The sequence below is a fragment of the Homo sapiens genome, chromosome 4, assembly GCF_000001405.40.
Source record: "Homo sapiens chromosome 4, GRCh38.p14 Primary Assembly".
NCBI lineage: Eukaryota > Metazoa > Chordata > Mammalia > Primates > Hominidae > Homo > Homo sapiens.
In genome coordinates, this window is record NC_000004.12 from 6,835,294 (window position 1) to 6,853,750 (window position 18,457).

Here is an 18,457-nt window from a genome sequence, read left to right on the forward strand (position 1 = left end):
ATTGCACTCTGTTGAGCCGACTGGAGCCCACACAAGTTCAAGGGGAAGAAGCATCACTCTCTTGATGGTAGAACCACCACTCTGTCAAGGTTTGGTTTCAAAATTTTAGACCACCAAGTACAAAGCTACGATTTTTCCAAAGAAAAAACAAGCCTTACCCAAAGAATTAGGATTTCTTTTTATTAGTAGTATACTTTAAGTTCTAGAGTACATATGCACAATGTGCAGGTTCGTTACATAGGTATACATCTGCCATGTTGGTTTGCTGCACCCATCAACTCGTCATTTACATTAGGTATTTCTCCTAACGCTATCCCTCCCCCAGCTCCCCGCCTCCCAACAGGCCCCCGGTGTGTGATGTTCCCCTCCCTGTGTCCATGTGTTCTCATTGTTCAATTCCCGCTTATGAGTGAGAACATGAAGTGTTTGGTTTTCTGTCCTTGTGATATTTTGCTGAGAATAATGGTTTTCATCTTCATCTGTGTCCCTGCAAAGGACATGAACTCATCCTTTTTTATGGCTGCGTAGTATTCCATGGTGTATATGTGCCACATTTTCTTTATCCAGTCTATTATTGATGGACATTTGGGTTGGTTCCATGTCTTTGCTATTGTGAATAGTGCTGCAATAAACATACATGTGCATGTGTCTTTATAGTAGCATGATTTATAATCCTTTGGGTATATACCCAGTAATGGGAATGCTGGGTCCAATGGTATTTCTAGTTCTAGATCCTTGAGGGATCGCCACACTGTCTTCCACAATGGTTGAACTAATTTACAGTCCCACCAATAGTGTAGAAGCGTTCCTATCTCTCCACATCTTCTCCAGCATCTGTTGTTTCCTGACTTTTTGATGATGGCCATTCTAACTGGTGTGAGATGGTATCTCATTGTGGTTTTGATTTGCATTTCTCTGATGACCAGTGATGATGAGCATTTTTTCATATGTCTGTTGGCTGCATAAATGTCTTCTTTTGAGAAGTGTCTATGCATATCCTTTGCCCACTTTTTGATGGGGTTGTTTGTTTGTTTTTTGTTTTGTTTTTTTTTTTTGGCTTTGCAAATCATATATGTATATTGAAAATTAGAATACACAGTTTGGTGGCTTTGAGTCCTAACACTTTCCCCCCATTTCTTGTACTTGTAGAAATATTGTTCTCACTTTTTCCTGATTTCTTTGTTTCTCACTCTATTGTGCTTAATAATTGTATTAAGGGTTGTTTGTCCTTTTTCTTTTTTTTTTTTCTTTTCTTTTTTTTTTTTTTAGTATTTATTGATCATTCTTGGGTGTTTCTCGGAGAGGGGGATTTGGCAGGGTCGTAGGACAATAGTGGAGGGAAGGTCAGCAGATAAACATGTGAACAAAGGTCTCTGGTTTTCCTAGGCAGAGGGCCCTGCCGCCTTCCGCAGTGTTTGTGTCCCTGAGTACGTGAGATTAGGGAGCGGTGATGACTCTTAAGGAGCATGCTGCCTTCAAGCCTCTGTTTAACAAAGCACATCTTGCACCGCCCTTAATCCATTTAACCCTTAGTGGACACAGCACATGTTTCAGAGAGCACGGGGTTGGGGGCAAGGTTATAGATTAACAGCATCCCAAGGCAGAAGAATTTTTCTTAGTACAGAACAAAATGGAGTCTCCTGTCTATTTCTTTCCACACAGACACGGTAACAATCTGATCTCCCTTTCTTTTCCCCACACTTCCCCCCTTTCTATTCGACAAAACCGCCATCGTCATCATGGCCCATTCTCCATGAGCTGTTGGGTACACCTCCCAGACGGGGTGGCGGCCGGGCAGAGGGGCCCCCACCTCCCAGACGGGGCAGCGGCCGGGCGGGGGCTGCCCCCCACCTCCCGAACGGGCCGGCTGGCGGGGCGGAGGGGCTCCTCACTTCCCAGGCGGGGCGGCTGCCGGGCGGAGGGGCTCCTCACTTCTCAGAAGGGGCGGCGGGTCACAGACGCTCCTCACCTCCCAGACGGGTTGGCGGCGGGGCAGAGACGCTCCTCAGTTCCCAAATGGGGTCGCGGCTGGGCAGAGGTGCTCCCCACATCCCAGACGATGGGCGGCCGGGCAGAGAGGCTCCTCACTTCCTAGACGGGATGACGGCCGGGAAGAGGCGCTCCTCACTTCCCAGGCTGGGCGGCCGGGCAGAGGGGCTCCTCACATCCCAGACGATGGGCGGCTGGGCAGAGACGCTCCTCACTTCCTAGACGGGGTGGCGGCCAGGCAGAGGCTGCAGTCTCGGCACTTTGGGAGGCCAAGGCAGGCGGCTGGGAGGTGGAGGTTGTAGCGAGCCGAGATCACGCCACTGCATTCCAGCCTGGGCAACATTGAGCACTGAGTGAGCGAGACTCCGTCTGCAATCCCGGCACCTCGGGAGGCCGAAGCTGGCAGATCACTCGCGGTCAGAAGCTGGAGACCAGCACAGCCAACACGGCGAAACCCCGTCTCCACCAAAAAATACAAAAACCAGTCAGGCGTGGGCGGCGCGTGCCAGCAATCCCAGGCACCGGGCAGGCTGAGGCAGGAGAATCAGGCAGGGAGGTTGCAGTGAGCCGAGATGGCGGCAGCACAGTCCAGCCTTGGCTGGGCATTAGAGGGAGACCGTGCAAAGGGGAGAGGGGGAGGGGGAGGGAGAGGGAGAGGGAGAGGCAGAGGCGGTTGTTTGTTTTTTTCTTGTAAATTTGTTTAAGTTCTTTGTAGATTCTGGATATTAGCCCTTTGTCAGATGGATAGATTGCAAAAATTTACTCCCATTCTGTAGAATTAGGATTTCTAACCTGTAGTGTTGCATTTGAGAGTCTATGGAGCAATACCTTTCAGATTCTGAGAAAAATTATCTCCATTCTAAAAGATCTTACCCGAACTAGTAAGTATGAGGGTAACAAAGATAGCTTTTTTTTTTTTTTTTTGAGACAGGGTCTTACTCTGTCACCCAAACTGGAGCACAGTGGCGTGATCTCTGCTCACTGCAGCCTCCGCCTCCCAGGCTCAAGCAATTCTCCCACCTCAGCCTTCCAAGTAGCTGGGACTGCAGGTGGACACCACCATGCCCGGCTAATTTTTGTATTTTTCTTGGAGACAGAGTTTCACAATGTTGGCCAGGCTGTTCTCAAACTCCTGGGCTCAAGTGATCTGCCCACCTCTGCCTCCCAAATTGCTAGGATTATAGGTATGAGCCACCATATGCCCCACCTAAAGATAGCTTTTGACAGATGAGGCTTCTGAGGTTACTGGGAGTATTCTAGGTCTGACTGTTACCTGATAGATATATTATTATTCTTAAAACTGTACATTTACATTGTATATACTCTGCTATGTGGGATAAATTCCACATTTAAAATAAATCTGTTAAGATATATGCCAACTGTTGACAGTAGTTACCTGTGAGGATTGATGTTGGGGTGGAACTGACTTGTACTTTCAAAGCAGCTTTTTTTTTTTTTTTTTTTTTTGAGACAAAGTCCATTTCAAAATTGTTATAAAGGTTGCTTGAAGCTAATACATGTTTTTGGTAGTTTATGAATTGATACGTTTAAAATAAATAAAGCTGGCCAGGTGAGGTGGCTCACGCCTGTAATCCTAGCACTCTGGGAGGCCGAGGCGGGCAGATCACTTGAGGCCAGGAGTTCAAGACCAGCCCAGCCAACATGGCAAAACCCCATCTCCACTAAAAATACAGAAATTAGCCAGGTGTGGTGGCGCATGCCTGCAATCCCAGCTACTCAGGCTAAGGCACGAGAATCTCTTGAACCCAGGAGGCAGAGGTTGCAATGAGCCAAGATCACGCCACTACACTCCAGCCTGGGTTACAGAGCAAGACTCTGTCTCAGAAATAAAATAAATAAAGCTAAGGATTCTTCCTTTCAAGCTTCTAGGAATGACATTGATTAATAAGATTAATTTTAGCTCTTATATGAAAATTGATTAAATTTTTTCCCATCACCGTCAGGTTTAGATTTTGCATTAGCACTTACGTTAGGCAGAAGAAAATATATAAAATTTTACATATAAGGAATATGAAAATAATTTCAGAGTGAGAGTTGGTGCTAATGATGGGTACACAAATTCCTATACTTCCCAAGACACCATTAACACTTTTTGTGTGTGTAAAATGTTCTCATGGAATAGAGAAGTTTTAAATATAAATATCCCATGTTTTAAAACTGACATTTCTGCTTTTATGTGCAAATGTGAATGCATCAATACAGAGAAAACTAGGGATGGTCCCTGAGTGACAACTGCCAGTTTAGGAATCACCTTGAAGGAAGAATAAAGGAATAGTGTGTATAAAGGAATAGTGTGTACAAAGACACAGAAATAGGAGGGGCCTGATGCTGTAAGGTCAGAAAAGAGTATGCTGAGGAGGGGGTAGTCGAAGGTCAGAGTGGGGCAGGCCCGCAGGAAACAGACCCTGAAGAGACTGATGTGCTGTGTGAGGGCATTTCTAGTTATGTCCTAGAGACAAAAGACCTGTAGATCGAGTTTAGCCAGCAGGACTTAATGGCATGGCAGTGGGCAGACAGGTAGGTCAGTGAGGAGGTCATCACTGTGGGCTGAAGACCTAGTAGGAAAAACAGGAATATAGTTAACCTGAAATTATGCTTGTTTGATTGGAGCGGCTCATTTTTTAGGGGCAAATAGGGGTTATTTTGAGCAATATATCAGTGGATTTATTACTGAATGCTCTCCTCAGAATCTGACTGTATCTCATTCACAAGCAACCCAAAGTTTGGCCTAAATTGGCTTACGGGGGAAAAAAGACTCAAATAACTAAAAGTCCAGAAGTTGGGCTGGCCCCTGTTAGGTTTGATTCAGAGCTTCCCAGTGTCATTCAGGCTTCTGCTCTGCCTCTCTGCCTACCTCTTTTTGTCAGCTTGGTTTTGCAGCCAGCTCCTTGTAGGGTAAAGGGTGGTGACAATGAGCATGCTTCTGGGATCATATTCTCACACACTGTCCAGAGGTCATGTTCCCCGCATTCCCAGCAAGGACCATGAAATGTGCATTTCTGATTGGCCACGTGCCTCTCTCTGAGCCAATCTTTGTGGCCAAAGGGATGATGGGGGTAGTGTTAATCCCATGCAGACACATTGTGGTTTTGGTCATTTAGGCACTGTGAGGCAGGGGCGTATGCTCAGCAGCTAGCCTCCAGTGACTGCTGGTGTATTTCCAAGTGGCGTGTGCTTTTTCTCCCCCAGTTCCCAATCTCCCTTTTGATAAAGACAGCATGGAAAAGTCAATCAGAACTCTAGCCTTACGTGACCTCCCTGTAGTGTCTAGAAAAGTACCTGATAATAGACTCTCATGCTGGGGAGTTCCTTAGTTGTATCTGCTTTTGGTACTTGATAATTATGTTGTTTCTTTAAGATTAGGACTGAGTAACTATTTGACAAATGTCTAATATTTTATGTTTATGTATAAGCAGACTTTTTTTTTTTTTTTGAGACACTCCTAACCTCGTGATCCACCCACCTCTGCCTCCCAAAGTGCTGGGATTACAGACATGAGCCATCGCCCCCAGTCATAAGCAGACTTTTAATAGTACAGGATAGGAGACTAAAAGGATAACAATAAGTGAGATAGAAATATCTTGGTTCTTTTTATACTCATTTCTTTAAGCTGTGATTAACAATTCAATGCTGTTAAATTTTGGTTAAGTTATGGTACATTAACGTAGTACATTAAGCCTTAAAAAAACAGCATGAGGGACCTCTCAAATACAAGTATAAAGAACAGAATGCAAACAAGTGTGTGTGATATATACTGTTGTTTATGTAGCTTTTGCTACAGATGTGATGTTTCTTAATTCAACCTAAATAATGTGATAAAGTCACTCTAACATTATTTGAATCATAAATAATGTCAGGCTGCTTCATACATTTTTTGTTCTGTCAAAAGTTAAAACAAGAAGTGAAATCTCCATCCCCACACAAATTTATCATGGGTAAGTTGTCCAGGCTCAAACTGCTCTTCCAGCAGCATTTTTCATACTGGATACGCAGTGCAAAGGAAATTTCTTTATCTCAAAATCTATTTGCCTACTTAAGTTAGCAAGGCGCTTTCATTAACTTTCATTCCTTAGTATTAATCTACAATATACTGACATGCTAGAAGGCAAATATCAAGATACAAATTTAACAGAATTCTATAAATGCCTTCTAACCAAATATGTTCAGTTAAACTCATGCTTGTGGATTAATACCAGCATTTGGCAATTTCTATTTGTGTGAAGACATTTTCAAAGATGAAATACATAAACTTTTTTTATAAATCAGCATTAAGAGGGCAGTTAGGTAAGGAAAAGACATACAGATTGAAAAGGAAGAAGTAAGACTCTAGTCACATATGACATGATCTTGTTTAGAATATAGAGAAAATCCTAAGGAATGAAATTAAGAAAAAACTCCATTTGCAATAGTATAAAAAAGAATATGCTTAAGAAAAAATTTGACAAAAGTGCAAGACTTGTGCACCAAAAACTATAAAGCATCTTTGAAAGAAATCAAAGAAGACCTAAATAAATAGAAAACATCCCATGTTTGTGATCAGAAAACAATACTATTAAGATGGCAGTACACCCCAAGTTGTTTTATAGAATCAAGATAATCCGTCTTGGAATGCCAGCTCCCTTCGTCGCAGAAATAGACAAGCCGATCCTAAAACTCGTATGGAAATGCAAGGGGCCTTTTTGTGACTGAGTGTGTGTGGTAGGTGGAACATAGTAGTGTCCAAGTTAGCCCTGGTCATTTAACCTGGTGCAATTTCATTGCAGGAGAATGACATCTTCCTGGGCTGGGAAAAAGGAGCTTATAAGAAATGGGGAAAGAGTAAGAAAAAATGTTCAGATCTAACTCTAGAAGAAATGAAAAAACAGGCTGCTGTCCAGTGTCTTCGATCTGCTTCTGATGAAGTAAGTTTACATTTTGTTTCTAACACTTAAGAGAATAAAAGAAGGGGTGATTTAAGTTTACAAATATGACAACTTGACCTCCAAAAACTGGGAAAACAAAGTACTTATTTATTTTACCAAGTAACATGAACATTACCACTTTTCCTTTATGGTATTTTTCTATATTTTCTGAAGTTTTATATGCTTTTCTTTTATATGTGCTACTCTAATTAAGAGTATACACAAAATTTTATATCCTTTTTCCAACTCGACTATTTCATCCTGTTATTACATTGTCTTTATTCTTTTTAGTGGCTAAGTTGCATTTCATCAAATAATATTTCAACAGCAGTATAATATTATAATATAATCTTTATTACTGGATGTTTACCTTGCTCTTGATTTTTTTTTTTTTTTTTTAAGACAGTGTCTCACTCTGTCGCCCAGGCTGGAGTGCAGTGGTGTGATCTCAACTTACTGCAACCTCTGCCTCCCAGGTTTAAGCGATTCTTGTGCCTCAGCCTCCGGAGTAGCCAGAATTACAGGCACGTGCCACCATGCCTGGCTAATTTTTTTGCATTTTTTAGTAGAGATGGGGTTTCACCATGTTGGCCAGGCTGGTCTTGAACTCCTGATCTCAGGTGATCTGCCTGCCGTGGCCTCCCAAAGTGCTGAGATTATAGGCATGAGCCATCGCGCCCGGCCCGCTCTTGATTTTTCTGTTATGCAGTCTAGAATATGTTATGTGGGGTTTTTCAGTGGTCTGTATTATTACATTTGGATACATTCCTAGAAGGGAATAGCAGTTCAAACACTTCAAAAGTACTGTATTGGCATATGATTTATATATTTTTTGTTTTTAGAAAATATTACAATATTATTTTATTCTTTTAGCATTTCATATAAAATATTTCTCATGTCTTTCAGTTTCCTGAAATAACAAAATAATTAAAAAATATCTTTTGCAGTTAATATTATGAATTCTTATTTTATTATTCACTCTAAGATGTTATCTGTGAGATCGTAACTACTGAAAGAGTCATTTTGCTTTGACCATACTATTTGAGAAGGTATGGTTTAAGTACCTTTATGATGCAAGGCGAAATTGAGTGGATTCTGACCTCCAGAAACTTCCTTCCTGGACTAATTGTTGAATGGTCTAGTGTTGCGATCGTTGGCTTTGTTATCTTTGACAATCTGCAGAAGTTTATTCTGTCTGGCTGCCACTGATGCAAACGGTTTTTAAGGCTTGCTTAGTGTTTCCCACCTTTCTGTTCTCATCCAACTCCTAATTATCTCTGAGGCCAGGAACAGTGGCTCAACACCTGTAATCCCAGGACTTTGGGAGGCCAAGGCGGGCAGATCACCTGAGGTCAGGAGTTCGAGACCAGCCTGGTCCAACATAGTGAAACCCCATCTCTACTAAAAATACAGAAATTAGCTGGGCATGGTGGTGCATGCCTGTAATCCCAGCTACTTCGGAGGCTGAGGCAGGAGAATCACTTGAACCTGGGAGGCAGAGGTTGCAGTGAGCCAGGATCATGCCGCCGCACTCCAACCTGGGCGACAGAGGGAGACTCCATCTCAAGAAAATAAAAAAAGAATTGTCTCTGAAAGCCTGACTCCCCTGGCCATATACTCATGATACATTGTGTATACCTCAAATAACATGGCCTTCACATCCTAAGTTGTAATTATTCATTTGACTGTGCTCACTGGGCGCAAGGACCGTGAGTTACCCATCTTTTTTTTTTTTTTTTTTTTTTTTTTTTTTTTGGCGGAGTCTTGCTCTGTAGCCCAGGCTGAAGTGCAGTGGCGCCATCTCGGCTCACTGCAAGCTCCGCCTCCTGGGTTCATGCCATTCTTCTGCCTCAGCCTCCTGAATAGCTGGGACTACAGGCGCCCGCCACCACGCCCGGCTAATTTTTTGTATTTTTTAGTAGTGATGGGGTATCACCGTGTTAGCCAGGATGGTCTCCATCTCCTGACCTCGTGATCCGTCTGCCTCAGCCTCCCAAAGTGCTGGGATTACAGGCGTGAGCCACCGCACCCGACCAAGTTACCCATCGTTTTTATCTCCTACTGCCTAGCACAGTGAGTGCTTATCACATGAAAGGTACTGATTTTTTTAAAATGAATCTAACATTCATTTTTAAAAAAGCCTACCCTTTCATCCAATTATTTTTTCTCTTCCCAGCTGTTTTCTTCTCCCCCACCTCTGATTTTTTAACTTCTTAATTTCTTTTTCTTTTTCTTTTCTTTTTTCTTTTTTTGAGACGACAGAGTCTTACTCTATTGCCCAGGCTGGAATGCAGTGACGCAAACCTGGCTCACTGCAACCTCCTGGGTTCAAGCGATTCTCCTGCCTCAGCCTCCCGAGTAGCTGGGATTGCAGGCATCCGCCACCACACCCAGCTAATTTTTGTATTTTTAGTAGAGATGGGGTTTCACTGTGTTGGCCAGGCTGGTCTCAAACTCCTGACCTCAGGTGATCCACCTGCTTCCACCTCCTGAAGTGCTGGGATTACAGGTGTGAGCCACCGTGCCTGGCCAGCTTCTTAATTTCTTGAAATTGTTGCTTCATACAGCATGGGATAGGAGTTTGGAAGTTACCACTTATACATACAGCTATCTTAGGCACCATTTCATTACAACAATTAGGAACATAATTAACCTGGTTTAAGGAAGAATAGAAATATATGTAAAGGATACAGGGATATCTCACTGAAGCCAAGTGCTAAAAGTATAGCAGCCTCACGAGAGACCTGAACTGGGAATTATGTGATAGACAAAGTCACTTTCGGTAACAACCAAGCTACAATCTCTCATTTCCTTCTGTACCTGAGTCAGGGTCATTCCCTCTCTGTCCAAACTCTGGTTTTCTCTGCTTTAGCACATAGTGAAGAATGGCCATTCCAGCTTCCAGCCCAGCATGACCATGGAACTCTACTGTCCAACACCATTCATCTAGAGAGAGAATCTGATTGGCTGGGCTTGAGCCAGGTGATTGAGCCTGGGCTTAATCAGGCTTGAGCCAGCCTGATTTGATAAGCCCTGGTGAGGGGGCAGGGCTGCCTGGAGGTTCATCACTTCAGCAGGGGCTGTGAGTGACGTGCCCAGAGAAAACTTGGCAGAGAAAACTTTGTGGTTAAAATGGTGGGTTTTTTGGTTTTTTGTTTTAATTTTAAAAAATACAGGGACAGGGTCTCCCTGTGTTGCCCAGGCTGGTTTTGAACTCCTGGGCTCAAGACATCCTCCCGCGTCGGCCTCTCAAACTGCACGGTACAGGCCTGAGTCACCACGCCCAGCCAAAATGGTGTTTTCTTTATGACACCTAAAGGGAGTAAATCGATAATTTGTAGATTGATAAGTAATTTAGAGCTTTTAAAGGAATTCAGAATGCAGATTTTTTTTTTTTTAACAAGCGAGAAGTTAATTCAGGTAAATTATTTGAGCAAAATCCAAAGAAGCTGCTGAGTTATAGTCGGAAAGAAAATATGGGTAGTGCAGGTTCAGACTGAGAAAGGATCTTATTTCTTCTTTGGACCAAAGTTGCTGAGAAATGAGCCTAGCCTTTGACTCACGGTTAAGCTGGGGAAATGACAGGGGCAGCTGAAATCAACTGAAAAGATGAAGGGTATAAAAACCTTCTATGAGTAATGCAAGACCCTTCTCCTGTAGCTTGTTGAATTTGCGTGTAATTCATGCTAGCCGAGTATGTCGTGTGATGTGAAGAACTTAGTATGAGGTAGAAACAGTGCAAGGGAATGGTTGTGGCTTATAAAGATCTTTGATTCTTTAGGTTATTGCTTTGGGAAAATGCTTTCCTTTGCTTGGCTGTCATAGGCAGGATTTTTATTTTCAACCCCAGTAAAGCATATTTGTACTTGTATTGCTCTTTCCTTCTCATTTTATTTAAAAAAAAAAAGATTGTTGGATTGCTTTTTCATAACAACGATTTTTAAAAATCTCACCAAATTAAAATTAGCTGAGGAAGTGAATGTGCCAGGCATAACCAGATGCTCGGTAATTACTTATGGAATGAATGAGGAGAGTCTTCAAGTCCCAGTCCCTGCTCCAGAGCTGTTGTTTGTGCATCAATCTATAGATCCCTTAAACCAGGTGTCCCCGACCCCCGGGCCATGGACAGGTACCAGTACTTGGCCTGTTAGGAGCTGGGCTGCACAGCAGGAGGTGAACAGCGAGCAAGCTTTACCGCCTGAGCTCCGCCTCAGATCCGTTGTGGCATTAGATTCTCATAGGAGCACAAACCCTATTGTGGACTGAGCATGCGAGGGATCTAGGGTGAACGCTCCTTATAAGAATCTAATGTCTGAGGTGGAAGTTTCATCCCGAACCCCATGCCTACCTGCTTGGTCTGTGGAACAGTTGTCTTCCACGAAACCAGTCCCTGGTGCCAAAAACACTGGGGACCACTGCCTTAAACCAGCTCACTGGCCTCTTGGGGAGCCAATGAAAAGAACCCTCTTTAACTATTGCCTGCTGCAATAGAAAGAATCAGTGTGTGGTAGTTTATGAATGGTAGGCCATCTGTGTGTCCCCTGGGTTTCTTTTTATAATCTGTCTATTGGCTTCAATGGAAAGAAAGGAGCAAAGAGGACCTACATCGAAAATTATAATGCACAATTTTATTTTGTGTTTTTGTCGTGAATGTTTGCATATAAGTATGCTCATTTCCTGAGGATGATCGTGTTTGTGGTACTGTGTGCTATGCTTTCCCATCCAGTCCAAATGCCCTCTTAAAAGTGCTTCTCAGTACAGCTCTTTAGACAGTCACTACTAATTGGTCACAATCAAAAACCACTAACAGTTCAAGTTTATAATCTAGTAGATTAAAATGCTAATGGCAATTAAAAGACAATAATATAGGTTATATTATTATATTAAATATAAGTATAGGTAGGAAGTACTGGTGATGTTATGCATTACATGTGAGATGAATTATTTTCTCATTATGTGTGTGGCTATTATGTGTGTGTGTGACACATGTGACCATGCGTGTATGTGACTGTTATAGTTACAATGTGAACTGTTTCTATAAAAGCATCCATAGTTACCAGACTGTTCACTGGTGTCATGGTTTAAGGAGAATGGCTTACTTCTCTGGCTCCACTTACATACTTGTGATACTACACCGTGCCTCCACTTTATCCTTGTAACAAGTTGTACCCCACATTATGGCACTTCTCTTGGCCTGCTCAGCTCATTATTTTATGAGAGACATTGCCAAAACAGAAGGGCAATTCAGTTGTGTCAGAATTTAATTTTATACATTGATTAAAATTTGGCTGTCCCTGTGTAAAAGTTGGCAGAGCAGTTGGTGAATATTTCTCCAGGGAATCATGACCTTTGATGGGCTTTATTGGTTTTTAGGTCCCAGCTGAAAACTGCCTTGGCTAATTCCCTTTCATTTACATATGCAAATAACATGCAAGTTTTCGATAAAATGTTTTGCATATGCTTTGATTGCAGTTAGTAATGGGGTCTGTAAAGAGGAATGGTATTGTGAATCAGCCATAGGCAATTCAGCCCTCCTCCAGATGCATATTTTTTAGGTGATTATTATCCTAAGCTGTCTGTTTCATTCCTGTTATGACCGGACCTGGCATATACCTGGTATTTGTTAAATATATGCAAACCACTCTTCATTTCCCCCTTAAAAAAAAAAACTACTTATATTTGTTTTATTTTTATTGAGCCACTTAAAACTGAATCAAAGCTAGTACTTTATCTCCCACTTTGAGGATGGTTAGAAGATTAGAAACTTAATGAGGCCCTGTTTGAGGAGTAAATAAAGTTAAAATGCAATAACTCTTCCATAATACCATTCTTTTGGGGTGTTAGTTTTGAAGGTAACAGCACTGCAGCTTACCCTGGGGAGCTGACCAGTCCTATTGTTATTTAAAGAGCCTTAGAGGACTTACACCCTAAGTAGAGTAGAGTCTTAACATTCACTTGCTTATATTCTCACATTGAGCTAAGTCTACCAGTAAAATTCTTTTTGCCAGTAAAAGTACAGAGTACAACTTAGTATTTTGTATATGCATTATTTATATGCTGTACAGGGTTATATCTACAGAAAACCATGTAAAGTATGTCACGGCAGTGTTTACCTTCAAGGTTAATTTTGACCATATACAATTGGCCCTTCATACCCATGAGTTCTACATCTGTGGAGGTAACCAACAGTGGATCAAAAATATTTGGAAAAAAATGGATGATTGTGTCTGTGCTGAACACATACAGACTTTTTTCCTGGCATTCCCTAAAAAATACAGTATGACAACTACACCCATAGCATTTACATTGTATTAGGTATTACATGTCATTGAGAAATAATTTAAAACATACAGGAGGATGTGTGTAGGTTATATGCAAATATTATGCCATTTTATATAAGGAACTTGAACATCCACAGATTTTGGTATCCTCAGGGGGTCCTGGAAGCGACCCAATATAGGGATGACTATATACTGTGTCTTGACACATGGACTGTTGAACCCAACCTTTTCTGGGTAATACTAAGAGCATCAATACAATGATAACATTTATTGAGCACTTAAAATGTGTAAGGTGCCTGTCTGAATACATTATGTACATTGCAGGAAGTGATGCTGTGCTCTCTCTACAGACCAGAACCCCCTGGGAAGAAGCCAGTGATTACAAAAGCTGAGAGTGCTCACAGTTGTTGTGTGATCACAGCCAGTCCTGCCTGAGGAAGCCTAAGTCCTATGTCTTTGGGTATATAGATGGCAGTGGAGCTGGAGCATTTGAGGACACACGGGCCATGCTAGGGACTTGGGCTTTTCCCCTGAGCAGCTGTGAAGTGTTAGGGTTTGGAGAGGAGTAGTGCAACCTGACTTACTTGCCAATCAGATGCTGATCAGACCATACTGGTTGCTGCACTGAGACTAACTAAACACGGTGAGTGAGCTGTGCTGGAGGGACAGAGGGCAGATTGTGAGCACCCAGTGAAGATGCAGTTGCAGGGGTCCAGGAGGCAGATGGCTGGGGGATTCTGCATCTGTTTTCGAAGATGGAACTGTCAGGATTAGATGTGGGGTAGAGATAAGGGGAGGAGACAAGGAAGACAGCCAAGGGTTTTGATCTGAGCAACTGCAAGAATATAATTCCTGGCCCGGCACAGTGGCTCATGCCTGTAATCCCAGCACTTTGGGAGGCAGGCAGGTCACTTGACGTCAGGAGTTTGAGATCAGCCTCGCCAACATGGCAAAAACCTGTCTCTACTAAAAATATAAAAATTAACCGGACGTGGTGGCGCCCACCCATAATCCCAGCTACCTGGGAGGCTGAGACAGGAGAATCACTTGAACCCAGGAGGCAGAGGTTCCCGTGAGCTGAGATCGTGCCACTGCACTGCAGCCTGGGCAACAGAGCAAGACTCCATCTCAAACAAAGAAAAAATTAGCCGGATGTGGTGGTGCATGCCTGTAGTCCCAGCTACTCAGGAGGCTGAGGTGGGAAAATTGCTTGAACCAGGCGGTGGAGCCAAGATCACGCCACTGCACTCCAGCCCAGGTGACAGAGCGAGACTCGGTCTCCAAAAAAAAAAAAAAGTAATTTCTATTTACTAAGGAAAAGGAACCTAAGGAAGGAACATCTTTGTGGTATGAATAAGGATTAACATATGAGATGCCTCCTAGGAGACAGCTAAATGGAGATTTTTGAACAGGCAGCTGAATAAACTGAATATGCATGTCTAGGGTTGGTGGGGTAGAGTGGTTTATGAGGACCAGGCAAGAAATAGCCCATTTTCTTTTTGTTAATCTAGCCCAGATCTTCTGATCTCTTTTTAGAAAAGGTAGAAAATTGGGATTTTTTAACAGGAAGTTTTCTGATCTTTCAAATGTTGAAAAGTGAGAATATGAGAGCAGACACAGAAGTGGAAGGGGCTGCTGTAAAAATCTGAGAGTGAGGCACTATAAAATAGACATGCGTGGGGTTAGGGGCTGGGGTATGAAAACAGATTAAGAGTTTGAGGACCAGAAAGGGCCAAATGATGGCCCAGTGAATCCCTGTGTGCCCACTGAAGTTGAAGAAGCCAGGTGTTGGGGGCACAGCTGGAGACCCATGTACGCTTTCCTAATGACTTTCCTGGTCATCCCTCTCAGGTCACCATCATACCCCGCTTGGTGTTTGTCTTTCCCATGCTTATTTTCGTATGTTTACTAAATACTGTTTGAAGGTGTACACAAATACAGCATGATTTTGCATTTTCTTAAACTTTCTATAAATTATACCATACTCTATATATTTTTGTAACTTCTTTTAGTTAAAAATTTTAAAATTTTTTCTATATTGTTAACATGATCTTATAATGTCTTCATTCTTCGTTCCTAAGTAGTTCTCCATTGTGAACTATGTAACACTGTTTATTCTCCTGGTAATGGGCCTTTCAATTGCTTCTCATTTTGGGCTATTAATAAAGAAAGTAGAAAGGAACATTCTTTTTTTTTTTTTTTAGACGGAGTCTCGCTCTGTGCCAGGCTGGAGTGCAGTGGCGTTATCTCAGTCAGCTCACTGCAGCCTCTGCCTCCTGGGTTCAAGCGATTCTCTGCCTCAGCCTCCCGAGTAGCTGGGACTACAGGCACATGCCACCACGCCCAGCTAATTTTTGTATTCTTAGTAGAGACGGGATTTCACCATGTTGGCCAGGATGGTCTCGATCTCTTGACCTCGTGATCCGCCCACCTCGGCCTCCCAAAGTGCTGAGATTACAGGCGTGAGCCACCATGCTCGGCCGAAAGGAACATTCTTACCTGCTTATCCTTGTGCGTATGTACAGTACTTTTTCTTGCATGTATACTTAGGCATCAGATTCCTTGACTGAAGTCAGTGTTTTTTTGTAACTGTCAGCCTTATAGACTGGAGTATTTGATGAAAGCTATGGCCCTAACCAGAATGTTATACTTAAACTTTTCTTATATGAATTACTTTGTTACATGCCCATTAGTGGCCTCCTTAAGAGTTCATCCTTCCTAGATTAAAAATAACTGGTCTAAGTTGTGACTATTCTTCTTAATTGAACCATGAAGTGAAACAAGTAGTATCCAGACATTCAGCTCATAGCTTTCTGAGCTTCTGTAGCCAAATATCCTTCAGGAAGTTTACTTGTTAGATATCTAAAGGGAAAAGAAACTGCCATCTCCATATGAAAGTAAGAAACAGGACTTTTTTGCATATCATAAAAAATAGGGTTTGCCTGGGTGCGATGGCTCATGCCTGTAATCCCAGCACTTTGAGAAGCTGAGGCGGGTGGGTTGCTTGAGCCTGGCAGTTTGAAACCAGTTTGAGATGGGGTTTTGCAGAAACCACATCTCTGAAAAAAAAACAAAAGAAAAGCCAAGTGTGGTGGCACACGCCTGAGTCCCCAGCTACTTGGGAGGCTGAGAAGGTGGGAGCAACACGTGAGTCCTGGAGGTCAAGGATATGGTGAGCTGTGATCATACCACTGCACTCCAGCCTGGGTGACAGAGCAAGATCCTATCTCAAAAATTAAAAAAAAAAAAAAAAAAAAGCGGGGAGGGGTTTGCCTAAATCAGTAAGGTGCTATAATGAACTAAGAAAATTGAAGGACTTAATTCAAGTTGAAGTATTTTCCTCTTTTTGTAAAATGATGAAATGGAGGCTCAGAAGTTAAATAACTTGTCCAGCTTCACACAGCACAGCAGGTCTCGTAAGTCCAGATCATGTTCCCTTTATGTTACATCACCCTGCTAAAGAGCGGGGTTACCTTTTTCTAAGCCTCGATTGGTCATATTATTTAATTATTATAACAGTTTGATATCCTCTATTTTTTGTTGAAAACTTTAACCTTCTTTTTTTTTCAGCATTCTAAAGAGTATATAATCTGTGCCCTAGATCATGTTTGAAGATATTTATCCATTGGATACTTCTCTCCTACTCTGTATCATTTTCTAGAGAGCAAATGTGCATGAGAGCTGGAGACAGGCCAATTTTTTTAGACCATTCCGTGTTCAAGGATAGGAATCACAGCTCTCATACAGGGGCCTTGGCAGAAACAGCTTTTTATTTAGAGGAGTTTTTTTTCACTTTGTATTGCTTCTCTGGCTATTGAAGGCATGAGTTTGTGACCCCTGGCACATATTCTCAGTCTTCTCAGTTGGTGCTCTTTTGCTTATTTGCTTAACATTAATTTAATTCTAAATTTTAAAAAGGTTTTTAAAACTTCCAGTCATTAAAGTATGGAATTGATCCTTTGCTTTCCAGTGAAACGATTACCATGATCACCAGTAGTCATTCTATCAGTATCTAGTTGGGTTTCCTACCACTAATCTTCCAACTCTGCTTTAAAGCTAAAGACTAAGATCTGAAAAACTGTAAAAGAGCTCCATGTGCAGGGCTGGGCTGAAAATAGGAGTGTTTGAAAGCCTGTGCTTCAGTTATTGCTACATGACTAAGTACCCCAAAACTTAGTGGCTTGAAACAACTATTTACCCACAATTCTGTGAGTTAGCTAGGGCTCAGCTGGGAGGTTCTTCTGCTGTTCTTGCTTGGGGTCTGTGATGGCAGGTGGAGCTGAAACATCCAGGATTGCTTTCCTCATGTGACTGGTGCTTCAGCAAGCATGGCTGGGAGCTGTGACCTTTCACCACATGGCAGATGGAGAACACTCAGAAGGTAGCATTCCAGGAGGGCATCTGTCACACTCGGCAACATCTTATTGTGAAACCCAGTCACTGTGGGAGGGGCCCAACCTAGGGGCAAGTGCAGGGAGGCACAGTTCATTGGGGGCCCCAGAGTAACAGCCTTTCCTCTGACAGTTACTTTCTGGAGAGATTAAGTAGACAGCTTCTGGACTTTGGGATACTAGGCACCCCTGAGGCAAAGCATGAGACACCATAATGAAAATTGGGGACTGACTGATTCCCCCATCCCTTTCTGGTGCCTGACTGACAAATAGGTTTATCTTCCAAAGATAGAAGTGTGGAAGATTTCTTAACGAGGAAGAGGTTGCTGGAAAGAAGAAACATTTGAGGGATGAGATGATCCTTTAAAAATTATAACCATGATAATAGAAATGAAAAACTCAATAGACGGTTTGGAAGGCAGCTCTGGAAATCTTCCAGAAAGTAGAACAAAAAGATGAAGAAATGGTAAACAGGTGACAAAAGAAATTAGGGGACCAGTACAGGAAATTCAGTAACCAGCTATTAGGAAATGTGTCCATAATACTAGCACCCTTTTCCAGATGTAGAAACTGAGGCTTTGATAGGTAAATGATTTATGTAGGGTCATGTGGTTAACCCTGGGGTGAAATTTAGAACCAGATCTCTTTGACTCCATTGAGCCATGTGCAAATGGAACAGGCAGTTAACACTGAGTATCATGTAGGTTAGTGATCACACTATGGCGGCACCTGTCCAGCATTTAGGGAATATCCAGTCTAAATGAACCCTCCATAAAAGAGAAACCTGTAAGATGATTAATATGGCACAGAAACCTTTGAGTATGGAGAGGAGAGATGAGGCAGAATAAGTCAAATTGCCTTTCTTTTACTTTAC

General features: G+C 42.4%; 1 protein-coding gene across 22 annotated transcripts in view; it reads left to right on the top strand.

The window, feature by feature from the left end:
• The window catches only part of KIAA0232, a 101,438-nt gene that overhangs the window by 52,567 nt on the left and 30,414 nt on the right, over window positions 1-18,457 (top strand). For all 22 annotated transcript variants that reach the window (XM_047416450.1, XM_047416446.1, XM_047416453.1 and 19 more), the window contains one exon: window positions 6,774-6,911. In XM_047416450.1, the coding sequence (XP_047272406.1) occupies window positions 6,774-6,911 (138 nt within the window). The remainder of the gene's footprint in view (window positions 1-6,773; window positions 6,912-18,457) is intronic.